General features: G+C 34.4%; 1 protein-coding gene across 8 annotated transcripts in view; it reads right to left on the minus strand.

The window, feature by feature from the left end:
- The window catches only part of TMPRSS15 (transmembrane serine protease 15), a 216,769-nt gene that overhangs the window by 64,105 nt on the left and 131,294 nt on the right, over positions 1-21,370 (minus strand). For all 8 annotated transcript variants that reach the window (NM_001428057.1, NM_001428056.1, XM_047440913.1 and 5 more), the window contains 5 exons: positions 20,503-20,643; positions 19,683-19,832; positions 10,735-10,840; positions 10,286-10,436; positions 8,193-8,328 (listed from right to left, as the gene is read on the minus strand). In NM_001428057.1, coding sequence (NP_001414986.1) covers positions 8,193-8,328; positions 10,286-10,436; positions 10,735-10,840; positions 19,683-19,832; positions 20,503-20,643 — 684 coding nt within the window. The remainder of the gene's footprint in view (positions 1-8,192; positions 8,329-10,285; positions 10,437-10,734; positions 10,841-19,682; positions 19,833-20,502; positions 20,644-21,370) is intronic.

The raw sequence follows: 21,370 nt of genomic DNA on the forward strand, positions 1-21,370 counted from the left end.
CTGCACTTGTTCCCCTGAACGTAAAAGTAAAAAAGAAAATTGGAAAAAAAAATAGATAAGAACTTCTCAAAATTTCTTTAGCATTCTTATGGCCTTTGTGAATCTTCAAGAAAGCAAGATAGTGCACAGCACTTCCCTAAAATTATTTGTACAAAGGAAATTTTTTTGTCAAATATCTTTTATAAATAGGTTTCATAAACTAAGATATAAAATCCCTACTGTAGAAAATGTTTACTTAAAATAAAACAAATTCAATATTTACCACTCTCTAACAAGAAAGGCTAGTAAATCATTTAATTCTGCAATTCTTGATTTTCCTTTTTTTTTCATTTTATTTATTTATTTTTTGGTAGTCTTAAGGGGAAGCTTCACTATTCTGCACATGGATAGTAAGGAAAGGGAGACAAAATGAAACTTCATTTGCTTAATAAATGCTTAATCAATGCCCCGATCTGGTAGCCAACATTGCGCAGAAGCCAGGTTGAGACGGGTAATGATTAAGGCAAATTTATTAAAACAACAGAGCAGAGGTCTTCCAGCTCAGAGTCTGACACTTTAAGTAGGTAGATTAACTTTATAAAATTCTTAACATACTTTGTTGTTTCATTTATTAGAAACAAATTCTAAAGTAATGTAAAAAATCAACTATTTTAAGCATTCTAATTGTATCTAATTCTTGTTACCATTATTATGTTTTAAAACAAGACCAAAAGAAGAAAAGTAATCTCATTTGAAGAATGCAGAAAACTGGAATAAATATATTCTTTTCTATTATGAAAGGCATATAATACTGAGATTATTTACCCCCAATAAACTAGAAATCAGATTTTGGGAGGGATAATTAAGTGTCTCTACATCTATGACAGTGTTGATAGCCATACCCTCTTCCTTAATCTCTCTTTCATATATGTTCTGCCTTATTTATGTAAGTCACTTGAAATTCATGTGCATCTTCAAAGTTTATATGTAACACACTGCTTAGATTTGGGTTTCATGATGCATATGATGGGACAGGAAGGCAATTACTCTGACTCAGTGTTGGGATCTTTGCCAACCTGTCCTGTTCTGTAAAGAGATAGGGCATGGTCCTGTTCTTCATGCCTTTCAGGGCCAGGTTTGTCTAGACCCAGATGAACTTATCAAAATAATAAAATGTTTTACCAAATCTTGCAAAGTGCTTCCATGCATGTTATCTCATATGGGGAGAGAACGCAATGTATAAGAGGAGGATTTGTTGGAGCTGGTGGATGAAAATTGTGGCTCTGAGTTAGTTGTCTTGGAGACAACTAGATATATATTAAGGATTTTTTGGATTGTTGTAAAATTAGACATAATTTAAGAAATGTTCCTTTGCATTACCTGCCATACTTAGTACTGGTTTTCAAGGCAATCTTGTGGATTGGGTAATTACTATTATTACTTCAGTTTTACATGGAAAATCTGAGAATTACAGATATTCACTTGCTTTTTAATGCCATACACAGCCACCTAGTGTCAAAGTCAAGACCTCATCATGGTTAATCTCGAGCTCATCCCACAGTAATTTACTGTCTCCTATTGGGTTGATTAAACTTTGGATAATTTCCACCATCTGGTTCACACTGCCATAGGCAGGGTTTAAATTGAGTCTCTATAATTGGCACTTGATACGTACATAACAAAAAAAGGAGGGCAGTGGATGAAAGCACTGACAAGTAAGGTCAAGGATGGCTAAACCTAGAAGGAAGAAGAGAGTGTACATGGGGTGCCGAGGAAGGCATGTGAACCAAAGAAGGAACAACAATGGAGAACAAGGGCAAGTTCTCAACAGGAAATCATGACTAATTTACAAAGATTTCAGAAGAAGGGTCTACCACAATCCTATAACCTCTACATACACATGGCACATTTAATTTCAATAATTCTACATTGCTATGAAATACTTCTTTTAAACCTTAATGAGACCAGTGAAGGAGGGAATGTCTAACTAACTTCAGGGACAAATATTACACTCAGATATAAGACTGGGAAAAATTAACTTCCTATTTCACAAATTTAGCAGTGGCCAATACTGGGTTTTTAAAAAAATCTTTTTGTGTTTTTGTTTTTTACCATTATTCTTATTTTATCCTCAAGTAACAGGAAAAATGTAAAACCTTATATTCCTGATAGAGTAAATAGCTGAGATTTGGAAAATGCATTGGATTTTGACATAATTGAACACTTAGTGTGCTATACTTAAAGATGAGTATGTAGGATGTTAATGAGCACATAACAAGAACTCCAACGTTGTCAAGTGTAATAGTTAAGCCTGTCAAGGCAGGCAGTTTACTTAGGATTTCGCCACTAAACACAAGTCTTGGAAAATGCATCCCTTTAAAATACTTAAGTACTTTTTGAAATGCATTTAAATCATAATTATCAAATAACTGACCAATAAGACATCTCTGATCCCTGGCCTGATAAAATAGATCAGTTACTCTCTGCATATAAATGACTGTAAAGAATTGGTAAAAACACTTTAAGTCATTCTAAATATGACACAATTTATTTTAATGGTGATGTTGTTCTAGCAGAGATGTGGCATGTGCTTCTAATAGAGAAACAAAAGATTCATGAAATGTAATTCCAAATATCACAGTCATGCTGTGCCATTAGGTAAAACATCCTCAGCCAGGGAATGAGAGTAAAATAGCCTGTCTGGTATAGGGAATTATATTCATTTATAGTGTTAAATTCCTTTTTTTTTTTTTTTCTGGGAGCTGTTCTCTCAAACACTTGTGTTCTGATTAATTTCTTACTATGCCAATAGGGATTTCCACTGCATATACTATGTAAATAACATGCAGTATTTGGCAAAGTGGTTGCCAAGGATAGATATTTTCCTTGATGCATGTCATTTTTTACTCCATGCTTAAGCTTCTGATGTCCGTGAAATGTGTGTTAATGCAGAGGTGTTTACTGAGGGGTGGAAAAGAGAAGAGCCTAGCTTTCATCTACAATAAGAGGGTTTTAATTAAAGATATTTATGGCAAAACAAGAAATGAGAATATGGGAAAAATAGATTTTTGATTGATACTTTATGTGATAGAATTAATAGATGTAGCTTGAGAAATAATACCTCCTATTGATCGATGTTTGAATATATAAAAAGTGGCTAATTTTCAAAATTGGCTATTGTTTTTCATCATTATTGTAATAGATACACAAATCTTTTGGTATCACAAATAGCATTTTAAAAGTTTAGGTTGTAATTTAAAGTAAAATGTTCCATAAAATTTTGTGTTCATTTGATCAAAATTTATGTTTTCATTAACAAGTTATAGTGATCATTCCTGATATAAATATTTTTATTAAATGTGTAACAATAAAGTTCAGATTTTTATTCTCTGTACTCTAAATTTGGTTATCAATAAAAATCCAGACAATGAGAGCTCAAAAACGTAGGCTATTAGTTTGCTTTGTTTTGTCTTGTTTTGAGATTGAGTCTTACTCTGTTGCCCAGACTGGAGTGCTGTGGCTATTCACAAGCATGATCGTAGTGCACCCGAGCCTTGAACTCCTGGCTTCAAAGCATCATCCTGCCTCAGGCTTCCGAGTAGCTTGGACAACAGGTATGTGCCACTGTGCCTGGCTCAGGCTATTAGTTTTAGAGGTAAAATAATTAAATCAAAATAGAACAACCCAAAACACACTGATCAACTAAGCAAGCAGTTCTGCTGAATATGGCCATCAATTTCAAGAGAGGTAGAGAGGTAGACAGGTACTGATTGATTCATATCTACATGAAGAACTAAAGTTAGATTATTTAGCTCTAAGTATTAGGTCACATCTACAAAACTTTCCAAATTAACTTTTTTTTCTTTCTTTTCCCCAGAGAGACAGGGTTTCGCCATGTTGGCGAGGCTGGTCTTGAATTATTGGCCTCAAGTGACCTGCCCCCCTCAGCCTCCCAAAGTGCTGGGATTACAGGTGTGAGGTACTGCACCCGGCCATGCCAAATTACCTTTAATTTACATTTGGAAGTAGAAAATGGCTTTAAAAATGGTGAAATAAAGAAAAACTGTGGAAATAAAGAGTGAATATTGAAATATTTAATACTATAGCTAGGTGTTTTGTTTTTGTTTTTCTTTTTAATTAGTTTTAAAAGCCCCAGAAATAAGCCAGGGGCCTGAAATGTGGATTTTGTTTTGTATACACCTATTTCTATTCAGTAGGTATCTTGTCATGAATCATCAAAATTGTTTTAAATTGGCTTGATCATCACGTAATGGAATGTTTATTCTCTTAAAGTGTACTCAGCGCAATCCCCACATTTAAATTCATTTGTACCAACATCACAGAGCAACAATTGTAGAATCAATGCAGCAGAAAGTTATTAAAGTCATGAAATGGAATAATCTCTGTGGTTATGAAAGCCGAACTTACATTTCCTCAGACTAGGCACAATGTGGGTTCCCAGGAAAGAGGGAGGAAACTGAGCGTTATTACTCAGTCACTGATCTGGGACTGTTTTCTTCTTTAAGTGCTCTATACGAACCCAAAGAAAGGCTATTAGCCAGTCAGCCATGGTTTCCTTTTATTACTGCTTAAACAAGTCATTGATCTGGAACCAAAAAAGCTCTACTCAAATAAGAATTTCACTGAACCAATTGCAAATGGCATTAGAATGAAATTTTTCAGAATACATTTGATGGTAATTAATGTTTTCTGCTGTGAAAAATATTGTCTTGAAGTGAACCATTTGGAAACTGGAACAAATAGACTCCGGGCAGATTCTAAAGTTTATATTTTCAAATCAGATGGGTTATTCTTTCATTATAATTTCCCTATTGTTAAAATAGACAGGGACACCAAGCTTGACATAAAGGTGCTATCTTTTTCTCTTTCTGATTGGAATATAAATATGAAGACTATAAGGGTCATATAGATACATTTTTAACTTAAGAAATCATATTTAAAATTTTGTTTCTATGTATGATATGATGTAAAAAAGTTACCTCAAATTTTCTATTTTAGGTAATGGTGAGATGGTGCTACATTTTAAATATCAGGTCTAAGAAACTATATTACTTCCTCCTAGAAAATTTTTCTTCTTTATTATTTATGAATAAATAGGGGAACAAACTAGCAAAAAGAATTATCAAGAAAATCTATCATGTTAAATGATTGAAATATCAAAATAGCAAAATGTTGCTGATATTTGGTATCTGTAGGAATAATTACTATTTATCAAGCAAGCCATGATTTTAATGATGCTGAATGTTGTTCTTGCAAAAAAACTCTTCCATATAATAAATAGGTAGGGTGTGGGTCACCTACACAAAATGAAGTGAGACAATTATTTTTAAACAATGCCCCAAATCCAAAATTACTGCATTTATGTGGGTATTTTTTCCTACACCCATCCCTACCATCATTTCCAAACTTTAGTTTTGGTACCAAAATTTTGTTTAACAAAAGTTTCATGTCACCAAAATAAGAGTATATCCAAAAGAGAGAGAGACAGAGACAGACAGAGAGAGAGATAAAGAGAGAGAAAGAGAGAGAGAGGCTTAGTCTGTCTCTAATAGTATTTACTGATCACCAATTATTGTGATGTTAGGAATCAGTCATACACTGGTAAAGCAAAGGTAAATTTGACCTAGAGTTTGCTGTGAAGGAACTCACTTCTTGTCACAATTTTATGACCAATATTATTCCATGAGAATGTATGGTACTTTCCTGCTTTTGCATCCATTTTATGAGTATCATTCCGTCTTTTATCTGCACGCTTCCTTAAAGCCTTCTTCTGCTCACATTTTTTTTTTCTCCAAAGTCCTCTATCACTTACTTCTCTCATGTATTACTTTTAGGGGCATATAATTATACATTGCTTCAAATATTTATTTATATATTTTTTCATGTAGTAATGGTTATTGCTACATCTTACATTTCATCTGCAGTGTTTAGCAGATGGCAGATATTTATAAAATTTGAATGAATGATTAAATATTGAGTAACATATATATCTCATATAAGCATCTAAACATGTTAATACACAAGATAGTAAAAGCAAACCGATCTTTTGGAGGAATGTAAGTGCTCATTCAATATGGTGGCATGGGATCAATATGACAATATAACTACTGTCTTCAACCTAATGGTAGCTCATTTGTTACATGTTCTTAAATACCCATAATTAACCTTTAGATCCTTTTCATTGTTAAAGCCACTCATCTGAAAAGTCTGCTTTTTTTCCTTGAAGATTGGAAGCAGAAAAAGATATAGTTTTGGAAGTAAACCAAATTTGGATAGGCTCTCCAAACTGATTTGCTGATATAATTTGGTAAAAGTATTAAGTGTGCTTCAAAGAAAATGAGAAATGGAAAAAGTACTGCGTTTGTGGGATCAGATCCATGCAGAACAAAACACACATGAGGTTTAACCCAAGCAAAGCCGTAGAGCTAAGTCAGCTTCCAACCACCACAATCCAAAGAAAAAAGCATTGTTTTTTTTGCATAAAAACAAGTGTAGTGAAAAAATCCCTATAGAAAGTCAGTGGATGTTTGTAATTATTTATTATCATAGGCATTTTTCTTTTTCTTTGTTTATCTGTCAAACCCCTAATCTGAAAGTAGTATGAAGTGATTGTCTTCTTTGACATGGATAATTTGAATGGTAATGGGTTTTGTTCTGAAATGTCACGCTTCCAATTTGACTTAAGAGCACAAGTAGACACAGGCTCGATTTGGTTCTTTTGACTTAAAAGATCTTATAGGACATTGTGAACCTTGGTCACTTCTCAGGAGTAACACATGAGTGGATCCATGAAAGAAACATATGCCAAAGCCTTACAAAGGTACTGTGATAGTTAATATTGAATGCCAGCTTGATTGGATTGAAGGATGCAAAGTATTGTTCCTGGGTGTGTCTATGAGGGTGTTGCCAAAGAAGATTAACATTTGAGTCAGGGGACTGGGAAAGGCCGACCCACTCTCAGTCTGGGTAGGCACAATATAATCAGCTGCCAGCACAGCTAGAATAAAAGCAGGCAGAAGAACATGGAAGGATTAGACTGGCTGAATTTTCTGGCCTTCATCTTTCCCCCATGCTGGATGCTTCCTGCCCTCAAACATCAGACTCCAAGTTCTTCAGCTTTCAGACTCTTGGACCTACACCTGGTTGCCAGAGGCTCTCAGGCCTTTGGCCACAGACTGAAGGCTGCACAATCAGCTTTCCTACTTTTGAGGTTTGGGGACTTGGACTGGCTTTTTTGCTCTAAGCTTGCAGATGGCCTATTATGAAATTTCACCTTGTGATCATGTGAGTCAATACTCCTTAAAAACTCTGTTTCATATACACATCTATCCTATGAGTTCTGTCCCTCTAGAGAACGCTGACTAATACCGCCACTATTTAGGACAAAAATATTTTAGGTGATCTATGTCTGTATGTTCAAAGTCCAGGCTTGATTAGTCATTGTTATTAAATTATTTTAAAAATAGACACAGTAGGTTTCAGATTTAACTAAACTCTTAAAATTACTCCTTAAGAAGCCCACAAAAACCTCAAGGCACCCTCCCCAAAGACTACAGACCATGCCACGTGGCCAGTACAACATTTGTTTGTATTCCAGTGAAAACAAAATGGAAACCAGCTCCTTTATTACTTTCAAATATAAGAAAGATACTAAAATGATCATTAATATGCTCAATAACGAAGAGTGGTTTTCATTGTGGATTTATGTGTAACATGTAATATTTTGCTAGCCTCCATTTGGTTTATATTTTGAAGTCTTTGATTTTCAGGAAAAATAAATAACAGTAGGTTGAGATAATAAGCCAAAGGAAGATCTACCTGAAAATAATTATTGTTTTTTGTTTTGTTTTGATTTTCTAGAGACAGAGTCTTACTCTGTTGCCCAGGCTGGAGTGCAGTGACATGATTACAGCTCACAACAGCCTCAATCTCTCAGGCTCAAGAGTCCCTCCTGCCTCAGCCTCTCCGGTAGCTGGGACTACAGGTATGCACCACTGTGCCCAGCTAATTTGTGTTTGTTTGTTTTGTTTTGTAGAGACAGAGTCTCGCTGTAATCCTCAGGCTGGTCTCAAACTCCTGGCTTCAAGCAATCCTCCTGCTTCAGCCTCCCGAAGTGCTGGAATTATAGCTGTGAGCCTCCACACCTGACGTTAATGATTTAATAAGACAAAATACACATGAAGGTTACTTACTAGGAAGTTCTGGTGGAGGAGTTGGCACCAAAGTTGGTTCTGGATAAAGACTCCCATTGCAAATCCCATATGTTAGGCTAATGTCATCCAACGCAATATCACTCAGGATCTTGTTTTTAAAAGCATTAAAAGCAACCTGCAATTCAGAGAGGCATATGAAACGATTTGATTCCATTCTAATCTTCTCTGACTTGATTCTTCTTGTGAGCCCAAGAGATTCAATATTGTCTAGAGATTCAATATTGTCACCTTGAACTATATGGTGACCGTTACTACATAGTGAAATCTTGACAGATCATGCTTTTTAAATTCTTCTGCTGAACCCAACCCCCTTATTATGTGTTCACACTGGCTAAATTTCCAATGATGTCTTCCTTCTGAATTAGTCAATATTGTTACAGTTTCTATATCTCTGTCTGTGTCTCTCTTATGATATTGTCATATTCCATTGTACTCTGTCATGCATATATATCATCTGGCAGGAGAAAGCAATTTTCTCCCAAATTTCTTCTTTCAGCAATATTAAACATTCAGGTAGTTTTCTTCCTTCTTAGAGCATACAAAGCCTGAAGAGAAAACACACTGGGGGTGAAGGGGACGAGAGAGAGTATGAGTGTAAAACGATCATTCAGGGCCAGCTGTTACTGGTCACAGTTCACCCAGGGTGTTGATGTGGGATACTGTGCAAGGGTGGTGCCCGGAGGACACAGAACGAGATTTGGAAGAAAGGTCCAGTGGCCAGAGGTAACATATTAGGTTCTCAGGAACAGTGGGTATTTTAGCTGTACTTTCCTGGATCCTGTGCTATGTAGAAGAGGAAAGACATAAATTGAATGTCTGCTATATGCTATTTGCTATGCTAGGCACATGGTATACATTGATCTTATTTAATTTTCAACACTCATTCATTCACTCATTTGTTTATTCATTCCACCTACTTCATGCCAGACATTATTCCAGTAGGTATTATTTTCTTCCTTACACATATGACCTAATTAAATTTCAAGGAGACTATGGTGACTTGCTCATGATTTCACAACAAAATGGCAAAGCCAAAGTGCACGTATCTGTAGAACTTGACTCTCTCGCACCACCTCATGAGCTGTGAGAAACTGGATCCAATTATATTACTTTAGAAAAGACGCTCAATGAGTATAGCCACATCTGGCCACTGCAATACTGACTTCCCCTTCTGCTGTCTCTTTTCTCCCTGGCCTTTCCATTTTCCCTTACCCTTCTCTGAATTATCAGAAAACAAAATTGGAGAGGAAACGTCCCATAAAAGGATCAAAGAAGAAGAAAGAAGGAAAAAGGAAGAGAAGGAAAGAAAGAATGATGGGAGGAAAACGGTTGAGAGTCATTAATTATTGCCTTACACCAAGTCACGGGGAAAATCTGAAGCCTTTGATGATGGCAGTGTCTGTCCAAATATACATCTTCTGAAAGTGATACTCTTGTGTTTGAAATTACCCATTTAAAACATTATTAATTTGGTCAAACTAATAGCCTCTATTATGCCATATTTTAATTGCAAAGACCCTCAGGAAGAGAACACATTAAAGTGTTATTTGAAAAATTAATTCACCTTAATGTGAAATAAATGATCAGAGACTTCCCAATGCTACAGCTCATATAATTTGTTTCTAAAGGAAATACATGGAGATTAAATCAGAGTGGGGCAGGGTGGGTGGATGCCTATGGGCATAGGCATAGAAAAGGGCAGGGTTGACCTAGGTGGTATTTGTGAAAAGCTGAAAATTGTAGGTAGGCAGAGGGCTTAGAGATAAATGGTTGGCCTATGCTAGAAAGTTGCTGAAGGAAGCTGAAATATTCTAAAAGACTTCGATGTATTTTATGGACCATTATAAGCTGTATTTTCATTAGTACATTGTTCCTCAATGATGGTTTTTAATAGGCTATTGAATAAATAAAAATAAAATACTCCAAGGTAAAATGTGAGGTAGATTGGGCAAGTAGAGAAAGTGACTTGATTATCTTCAGAAAATACATTAATTTTTTCACTGTATCATTCTAAATATAATTGTTCCACCACAAAAAGGATACAAATATAAATAATAAAGTATTTTGCAAACCTTAAATTTAACTGTTTCATTTAGGGTTACTTGTCCATAATTCCAATTGTCTCCATAATTTCCTTCCTTTTGGAAAACTGTCTTCTCCATATTTTGGTCATTGCTGATATTAATGCTTAATTTATGGACATTTTCACCATACATATGATACCTAGTTTGGAAAGAAGCAAAAATGTTTGGATTCCTACAACATTAGAATAAGTCCTTTTCAGAGCTTTTCTACATTTTTTACTTTCTTTGAAATAATCTTTTTTTCCTTCTGGGTTTTGGAGTTGCTGGGGATGGGGAGAGGTGTCTATCAATGTTTTATTGCTTATCAGTTGGGAAAAGTAATAGTATATGCATTAAAACTTTAGCCAACATCTTAGTGAAATATGAGCCTGGTGGCCTGAGCAAGGCAATGTTACCCATTAAAAAAGACAGCGTTTAAACAGGTGTCTACAACATACCAGAAACTAAGGCAAGCTGGCTCCAAAGTGGGGTCCAAAGGGAGGCTTAAAAGCCCCACTCGTTCTTGTCTCCCTCCTGGTCCAGTTGGGGTAGAAATGTAAAATCCTGTAAAAATATCAAAAAAAATTTATTTCACTTAAATATTGCATTTTCATTGTGTGACAAGTAGACTTTGTAAGCAGGAAAGAAAAACTTTAAGAAGAAAGGTTAAGGAAATATATTTTAATATAGTGGACAGGACACTAGACTCGAGCTCAGAAAGCAGTATTTTTGCCATAACAGATTGTTATTGACAAAAATAGCTTAACACTGGGCCTCCCACTTTATTAAACAAGAGTCTTGAAGTGGAGTACCACCAAGGATATATAAAATTCTGACTTATTATGAGTCACTAAATTATCCAGTCCAATTCCTGACTTAATTCTAGTTTACTAGATATTTTGATTAATTCACATGAGGATATCTAGAGATGCTGGTGGACTAACTCAGAATATACACATATATTTAAATACAAATTTGAAGGCAAATTTAAGAGTTTCTAAGATTTTCAGTTTTATATTTCACTGAACACTTCATATCTCTAAATAAGAACCTGCCTTATTTTAAAACAGTCTTATCTTTCTTTATTCCTATGAACGATAAGTAATCAGATCACTGAGAAGCAGAAAGCATGCTAATCCGTATAAAACTTTCAAAATAGCACAAGCCACTGCATAAAGTGCTTGCTGGTCTGAAATTCATTATTCCAACCAATGATTTCAGTCATTTGAAGTTTGTGAAGGGTTGTTGGGATAACATTTTGAACATTTTCTTAGGGGAATTTATTTTATTCTTAGTTTCCTGCTCACATATTATGACAGGAAGCGAGAATCATGTAACTAAATATTATATAAAGCAAATGTGATGTTGGATTAATCTAATTTGATTGGAATGCAATTTTTTATGAGATGATGAAATTTAGTGTTTACTTGAAATCAAGCATCTTCTCTCTTGTGCTTTGCAACAGAAAAATATAGGCAATGTTGCATATAAACTTTAAACTCATTCATTTATGAGATGCAAAGTAAGAACAAGGCATAAAGAAAAGAAGCTAGTAGAACTGCCTATAGGTATATCAATGCATATTTAGACCAGTGAGGCAAAAATTATTCAGAATAAATGAGTGTTTTATCAAGGTGAAATTATGGTCAAGTGGCTTAATAAATGTAATATGTACACATTCATTTGCTTTGTATGACAAACTGTTAATAATGTGTTTAAAATTTTATATTATTAACACATTACTCCTATTTTATATAATGCTGTAATATTTCATGAGTACATATCTTAGCTATTTTGTTAGTGTTCTAATTATATGACTGCATGGAGAAGAGTGGCCTAGATACAGAAGAGAGGTCCCAGAATCTACTCTTTAAATGCACAACTCCAAATCGCTTTTGAATTTACCTTACTTTTGATTACTTAGAACATAACTGGGGAAGAAATAATTAAAATACCACTGAATGGCTGGGAGCGGTGGCTCACTCCTGTAATCCCAGCACTTTGGGAGGCCGAGGCGGGCGGATCACGAGGTCAGGAGATCCAGACCATCCTGGCTAACACGGCGAAACCCCGTCTCTACAAAAAATACAAAAAATTAGCTGGGCGTGGTGGCGGGCGCCTGTAGTCCCAGCTACTCGGGACACTGAGGCAGGAGAATGACGTGAACCCGGGAGGTGGAGCTTGCAGTGAGCCGAGGTCGTGCCACTGCACTCCAGCCTAGGCGACAGAGTGAGACTCCGTCTCAAAAAAAAAAAAAAAAAAAAAATCCACTGAATATCATGAATAAATACTCAAATGGTTAGCCTATTCAGAAAAATTTCTAATTAGCTACAATTATATAAACACACATCATGCTCCTATTTATGTTTGGCCATGTTCACAGTCAATAGTTATAATTAATTTGAAATAGTTTGAATCTGTTTTTCACTTAGTAAGCAGTGATATATTTGGAGTTTTCAGTATGATCAAAATATGATGCTATGATTTCTTTTGTCAGTGATCAAGTAAAACATAATTAATTATGTAGACTATAGTACCTTATAAATCTTGCCTAGAGTAAATATCATATAGAATTGCATATTATTGAATATAGTAAAATAATATATAACATTAAATTGCTATTTTTGTGATATCAGCTACATTCTTTAGTTAACAAATTAGAAGATGAATAAAAGCCTTCATAAAATGCTAAAGTTTAAGAGTAGAGATTTGCAGTTTACATAAAACTGTACTTAGTCTAACCACTAATTGTCCTTAAATTTCATCTATAACATTTTGCCCTAAGGGATCACTTGATCTCTGGTTAACAGATGCCAGATGCAGAAGAAATTATTCTATTCCAAGGCATCCCATTCCGTTTCAACATGATTAGAAAATTATTTTCTTTTTTAAAAAAATAAGCTTATACGCACCTATTATAACTAATTTTGCCTTGTGGGACTATTTACAATATAACATATTTGTTAGCTCTACAGAAGTTTAAAGGCCACTATTACATCTCTCCTAAGTCTTCTCAAGATTATCCATCACTTTTTTTTCCTTAAATAATTTTATTAAGGCAGTTTCAGTTTGCTTCTTTAATTTGAGAAGCCGTCAATTAGCTGTACATTCAGTTGCTTCCACTTAAAGTATGGAAACTCACATTCACACAACATGTCTGTTGCGCTATCTCACCAGGGAGCAGAGTAGAAACATCCCAACGCATGGAACTATTACTGAAGACAGACCATCATTGTCACTATTTCCAAGTGCATCTCACTTCTAGCTCTCTGAGTCTTCTTGGGAATCATCTCTTACACCATTGCTCAATAATACTTTCTTATGCACAATCAAATTAGCCCCTTATTCAAGATCTTTTATTATCTCTTTATTTCTTATTAAACCAAATACAAATACAGTCTGATATTTGAGGCCCCTGTGTTATGACCTCAATGTCATTTTCCGGCTATTGCACCTATACTTCATCTATTTCCATAGAGCACTTCTGCAAAATTAGATAATTTTAATATTTCCAAACACCTAGAAATTTTTTGACACTTTGTGTCTTCTTTTTTCTCTTTTACCTCCTTCCACTTCCCCTTCCAATTGTACCTTGTTAAAATCGTATCAATTTTTTGAGGTCATTTAAATCAAACTGTCATCTCCTTCAGAAAGCCTCCCAATTAAAAGTAACCACTTTTTCTTTTGAATTCTCGGTGGCACTTTGTACTTCTCTGATGTCATTCGGCATATTCTGTCATGTATATATTTTTTTTCTTGAGATGATGTTTCACTCCATCATTCAGGCTGGAGTGCGGTAGCCAATCTTGGTTCATTGCAACCTCTGCCTCCGGTGGTTCAAGTGAATCTCCTGCCTCAGCCTCCAGAGTAGCTGGGACTACAGGCTCACGCCACCATGGCTGGCTAATTTTTGTATTTTTAGTAGAGATGGAGTTTCGCCATGTTAGCCAGGCTGCTTTCAAACTCCTGATCTCAGGTGATCCGCCTGCCTTGGATGTGTTGGGATTACAGGCATCAGCCACTGCACCTGGCCTGTTGTATATTTTATTTATGTTTATATGTGACTTTTTAAACTTGCTAGAACTTTTGGAAACAAGAAAGACACTTTGTTCATTTTTTTTCTGTCTTGATATGAATTAGCTGTCTGTTGTTTAACATATTTTTGTTACAGATTTGCTTTGCTTTTAAATTTATTAAATTTCTACATAAAAGGAACAACTGAAGAGATTTTTTCATAACCACATGGGAATTTATATGGTCAAAAATAATTTCTTCTAAAACCCTTTGACTTCCTTGAAATGTTTTCTAGAGCTCTTAGAATCAATCTCAGTCAACTTAAAACCCAGGATATTGGCCAGCCATAGTGGCTCCCATCTGTAATCCCAGCAATTTGGGAGTCCAAGGCAGGAAGATCTCTTAATTTAAAAAAAGAGGCCACCTTATACTAATAATAATGATAGCTGTGGCTGTTTTTACAAAAAAGAGAAGGGGGAGTTTGACAACATAATGAGGCCCCATCTCTATAAAAAATTTAAAAAAATTGCTGGGTGTGGTAGAATGCACCTGTGATCCCAGCTACTCAGGAGGCTGAGGTGGGAGTATCTCTTGAGCCCAGGAGTTTGAGGCTGCAGTGAGTTATGATTATGCCACTGTACTCCAGTCTGGGAGACAGAGTGATCCTGTCTCTAAACAAATAAATAAGCCCCAGAAAATTGAATACACTTTGTTTACTTAAGCTTGTAATGATCTCTTTTTTGAACTATTAGGTTTTTCTTAAAACTCCTTTCCATCACTTTTTCCTGCTTATCTCTTCATGAATTGAACCTAGTCTCTCTCCACCCAACATCCTAATTAAAAAGCAAAACTTCTGAGCATGTGCTGATCTGATATAGAGATAGCAGAAACTGGAGAGATAGTAGAACTTCCTGAGATCCTAGAAATCCCTCTCAAGAAGGAAATAGGCTGATGCAAATTGTTTCATGATTTGTAAATACATATGTAAAATTAGCTGAACCTAGTAGATAAATATTATTAAAAGCTTAAACTGATGCATGGCCTAAATTCAGTCAGATTTTATCAATTTTAGAAAGTAATATTATTTTCTAAAATTCAACATCACAGGAAAGATAGGAAAATAAAAATGTTACTTTTAAAACATTAAAGTTACACTTATTTTAGAAAAAGTTTATATGCTAAGTTAAATGAAGATATCTGAAAGAACTAATATGATTTTGAAAATTGAGCAGAGTGACTATTTTCCTCCCCAACATATGACTTAGAACAGTACCACAGCCAATGTATGTTTCTCGAATACTTTTGCAGTATGAAAAGAAAGTAGTTATAATACCTAACATTTATATAGCACTTCCTATGTGTCAGCCATTTTTCAGAGTTTTTTTCTAAACATAGCAATCAATTTAATGTTTATTACATGCCTTTAATGGCAGGTCCTATTGTCCTCAACCTCACTTTCCAGATAAGGGAATTGGGACAGAAATAGAAGATAGGAAACTTGCCTAAATGGCAGGGCTAAGATTTAAACCTGGCTAAGACTCCAGGGTCTGTATTTCAATGGTTTTTACTACTAAACTATACTACCTCCCACAGTATTACAAACAATTGCAATTTCACTGGTAAAGGAAACGAAAGAAACATTTTATTTGAGCTATGTAGTCCTCTGCGATCCCTATATTTCTGAAGTTTCCACATATTATGAACCTCATTTGTCCTGAGCCTTCTAAATGAATGGGCCACTTCTGAGCACCTCAAGATGCTGTCCTGCCTCAACACCACCTTCTTGACCAATTCCTTTTGCTTCTAAGAGGTACAGAGAAACCCTGACTGCTGACAATACAGAGATTTAGAAGCCATTGCTTCACCAGAAGAGAGTTCTTCAGAAGGACTAGAAAAATTAAGAGGCTTAGGTGTTCTTACCTAAAGCAGTATTAATTCAAAGTTTATCTGTTTCATTTAGTCTTTTCTGTCACTTAAGGTAAAGGCAAAGAACAAAACAACAATACAAACAACAAACCTGCCTGGATAAGAGGAACATCCAGAAATATTTAATTCTCTTTCATTTCAGAGATAGGATGTTCTGACACATAAAAAAGCAGGCTAGAAGAAAAACGCCCTTTGGAGAGGAATGACTGGTTGATTATGAAATCACAGGTATGGGAGTTGGAGAGGACCTATTAAATCCTATCATCTGTCCTCATTATATGACTTGTCTAATTTTAAAAAACTCCTGCTACTACGCTTTCTCCTGAGACTTCATTTCAGACCCGACTATTTAAAACCTCCACTTGACATTCAACCCGTTTCACTTTGGTCAGTTTCATCTTATTTCCTTAGTTATTTAATCTGTTGGCAAGCCGAAAACATTTTCCCCTTTAATGTACTTATGCTCTTCAAATATCAGTGGAGTTACTTTATCTCTTATTAGGATGACATAAGAGCAGAAAAATGATAATTTGAACATCAGAGATTTCAACCACATAAAAGGTATCTGTCATAGTCAATAGATATAAATGCTTTTTGCACTTTCCTCTAACTACTCTTGTCCAAGTGTGGTAGAAACTTTTTTTTAATTACAGTAAAGAGAAAAAAAAAGATCAGATTATTTGACTGTTTTAGGCCAGACCCCTTCAGAGAGTTGGGGTGATTATCATGTAGGGGTTAGTTTTCAGCTGTGTAATTAGTGATTTTTCCATGGAGAATCAGGCACTGGGAAATAACTTATTCAAAGAAGATTAATTATGTATGAGAGTATTCATGTCATCATTTTCAACACTAAACTTTTTTTGTCTTACGGGGTTGGCAATTTACATAAAGAACATTTTTTATGTGAAGGCCCACACTGGTGACTCATTTAGCTGGATCCTGTTGGCTTCAGTTAAAAACTATATTCAGAATCTGACCTTTTCTCACCACATCTGCTCCCACTGATCTGAGTCTCATGACCTCTTCTCTAGTTAGGCAATGGCCTTCCACCAGTCTCTTTTCAACACTCTTGCCCTCGCACAAACTATCTTTCAACAGATCAGTCATGTTCCCTCTGCCTGGAATAATCTGTGTGGCTAATTCTTTCAATTCCTTACAGTTTTGATTCAAATGTCACTTTTTCAATGAGACTTACTGCTCATCTTCTTCTAATTTGTAACAGCATCTTAGCCCCACCCTCCCCATCCTCTTACAAAGCTTCATATTTTCCCAAAGTACCTATTCACATTTAACACACCAAGGAACAATTAATTATATATATACATATATATATAATTTCCTATTCTCTGTTTTTTCTTGCTAGAATTTGTGTTTCATGAGAGCAGAAAATTTGGTTTATTTTGTTCACAGATATATTCTGAATGACTTGAATAAGGCCTGGAGCTCAATAAATGCTTCTTAAATAAAAGAACAAAATAATACATTTGAAGGGGCTTTTACTGATGACTCTGAAATATATTAAAGTAGTCACTTTTTACTAAAATCTATTTTTATTAAGTTGAAATAGTGTGATGAACCATATTTTGATATTCTAGGGATATCATTCTCTAAAGAAGTAGGATTAGTCAGATATATTTCTATCTTGAAAAAAATTAACTCTTTAAAGTCCTTTAACTAAATGTCACTCACAATTTATGTTAAATCAACCACTTAATTTTCAGGTCTTAAAATCAGGAATATTAATCTTCGTAATTGGTCATTAATACCAAATTGCAATGCCAATTTGCTTAGAATTTTTGTTAACTTTAGAAACTATTTTATTCAGTCAATAACTTATTCAGAAATTACTTGAGTCAAAGTTGTAGATATTTATTTACATATTCAAAAATAATTTTGCATGTTAATTACATTCATGCACTGAGAATACCTGATATGGTTTGGCTCTGTGTCCCCACCCAAATCTCATCTCCAATTGTAATCTACATAGTCCCCATGTGCTGAGGGCAGGACCTGGTGGGAGTGATGGGATCACGGGGGCAATTTTTTCAATGCCGTTCTCATAATGGTGAGTTCCCACAAGATCTGGTGGTTTTATATGTGTTTGACATTTCTTCCTAAACACACTCACTGTCTCTTGCCTGCAGCCACGTAAGACGTGTCTGCTTTGCCTTCTGCCATGATTATAAGTGTCCTGAGACCTCCCCAGCCATGCAGAACTATGAGTCAATGAAACCTCTTTCCTTTATAAATTACCCAGTCTCAGGTATTTCTTTATGGCAGTGTGAAAATGGACTAATACATGCCCTATTAATTCAAAGTTAAAAGAGACTAGGTTTTTGTTCCTGAAAAGAATACTGTGGTAAAAAGAAACAAATAAGTGAGTAAATATAATGCTATATAATAGGAAAAATGGAAGAGGTGCTTAGAATATTTAAGGGAAAAAAAATTTCAACTTGGAAGTTTTGGACAGACTTTGTGGAAGTTACTGTATATGACCTGTATCCTTAATGCCTAGAACCATAGCTGGTTAGAGGTGGCTTTTAACGTTTGTTTGAATGAGATAGTATTCTTATCAGCAAGTCATATTATAAGATGAATTTTGACTAAGAAAATTATATAAATTCACAACTTTTCACTGTTTTTTTGTAATTTTCCTTATACATTCCTTCTAAGATTTGTAACTCTCACTTCAGTGATTATATTTGGTATTATGAATATGTGTTCCAAGACTTTCATGATTGATCTTCCCACTACAAGTTCCTTAGCTTCTAATATTTCACCACGATTTCTGGTTTCTCAGCAAAATATTATTGTCTCTAATATTTCCACCTGGCATCAATTCTAATATCTCATTCAGATGAAAAATGTACTTAGAAATCACAACCTTGCCCTATTAGCATGCTTTAGAATCAGACTTCCATAGGGCTTCTCAGAAGAAGCAAGTCTATCTTTGTTTCAAGATTATGCAATCTTGTATGTTGAAAATGCTAAGGAATTCTTTAAAGGAACATCGGAGATAACAAACAAATTCAGCAGGACTGCTGTTGGGTCTAAGATCAATATGCAAAAATCCATTTTATTTCTGTGCATTAGCAATGTACAATCAGAAAACGAAATTAAGACAAATAGACCAAACTTCAGAAAAGCTAATTGCCTCACTCAAATCTACTTAGTTAATAATAAGTGGCAAGTCTAGGATGACAACCTAGTCTTGTCTCTAATGACCTCTGTGTACTTTTCAACATTTTGCAAATATATAGGGTAAACCAATATATTTCTTGAAACACACTCACTTTTACTTGCCTGTTTGATTACCATTTTTCATTTAATTAATTGAATTTTTAAAAAACCCAAAAAGACTTTTGCATTTAATACTGCTCACTTTACACTGCAGTACAACACATACCTCTTTCCTTTTGATTTATGAATTAAAATCCTTTTGACTTCTGAATTAAATGAATTATACCTGAAGCATTGCCAAAAGTGTGGTCAAAATTGGGTCCAGTAAAAGGAGAAAAGGTGCTTCCCTGAATCCTTTCCCATTCATTATCATCATTTAGATCCTGGACCCAGAAACAAAAGCCATCCTCAAAGTTACAATTAATTTTCTCATAATCTGTGAATGAAAAAAAAGAAGGAATAAAAAAAATTTAGTCCATAATGTGAGTAGTTATATTAGATTGTATTGAAAATAATCTAACCTTATACAGCTTATACTTCAGTGGTATGTACAAAATCATTATTTTTTATTGATCTTAACTCTGTTGCATTCTATTTATTTTTTTTAAAGCAGCTTTTTGTTGCCAACTGTGTTAAATTAATACATTTCCTATACTCTGTCAGGGTATTAGCAAATATAAGTTTCTCATTTTTTAAGTTTTACATCTTGTTTCCATTGGTTCACCCACAGAAACTTTGTTCCATATTTTTCTCTCTCCTGTTACTAAATTTAATACCTTGATCCAAATTAAGTTTATGTAGAATTTTCTCTGAATTAGTTTTATGCTAGTATTTTCTAACTTGCAATGCTTGCAGCAAATAAAATTTTAATTTGATTTTATAGTGATTTATAAGTTTTCTCAAATTGGTTATTTGATTCCTTTGAAAAATGTAAACCATTGTCCAATTTCTCATTTCTTTTTAAGTTCTAAGAAGAGAAAGATGCACATACAAGATACTCATTATAAAATTACATCATGAAAATTTTAGATTCTGCTACCTTTAAAATTCCATCATAACATTAAAGCATCTAAAAATTAAAAAGCCAAAAAATAAATAATACTTACTATTAAGCTCACTGCTGTTAAATGCAGTATATGTTGCATTAAAGCCAACATAATCACTTTCATCAGATTCTATAAGAAAGGTGGCAGTAACTTGGTTGGAAAAAATTCTTATTGTGCCAGGATTAGTTTCCCAAATAGAAGCTACAAAATAAAATAAACAACTGTTATATGTATATATCTATCTGTTCATCTCTCTATCCATCCATCAGTCCATCTACTGAACTATCAGTTTGTCAGTTGATCTATACAAATATCTATCTGATACCACTTAGTTAACTAAAAGCATTAGTCTTACATTTGTTTTAATTAAAATATCTCTTCTCTCAAACATTAGAAAGCCTCAAATTATTATACATATTTATGGTTTGATAAAAAAGGTATTTTTAATTTTTAATTGTTAGCTCTATGCACTATATATACATAGAAAAGATGCATTCATTTACTGGCAAAGTTCATCTAAGAAACATTAGTTAAGCAGTTTTGAAAATTAAAGTCAACTTAGCTTTATCAGGTATTTACTGTGTCCCACTCACAGGGGCTTAATCTGGGTAAAATAACAGAAACAAAAGAGTATTCTTTGGCTCTTTACGCTTGTAACTATACGACCTCAAAATAATACCAGGTGACTTAAGATTGTTTCTACAGCATTTTATATTGATGTAACATTTGTCTGTCTTGAGTATAAACTGCTTAGAGGATTTTTTTTTTCATTTTTGATTGTCAAGAGTTAGTATAATACTAGGATTATAAAAAGCTTCCATATGATGCTTTACAAAATCATTGTTACATAAAATTTGCTTTTATGAAAATGTACAGCACATACATTTTCAAAGGGGGTGGTCTTGCCTTTAGCGGAGTGAAAATTGGT

The sequence above is a fragment of the Homo sapiens genome, chromosome 21 (genome assembly GCF_000001405.40).
Source record: "Homo sapiens chromosome 21, GRCh38.p14 Primary Assembly".
NCBI classification, from domain to species: Eukaryota; Metazoa; Chordata; class Mammalia; order Primates; family Hominidae; genus Homo; species Homo sapiens.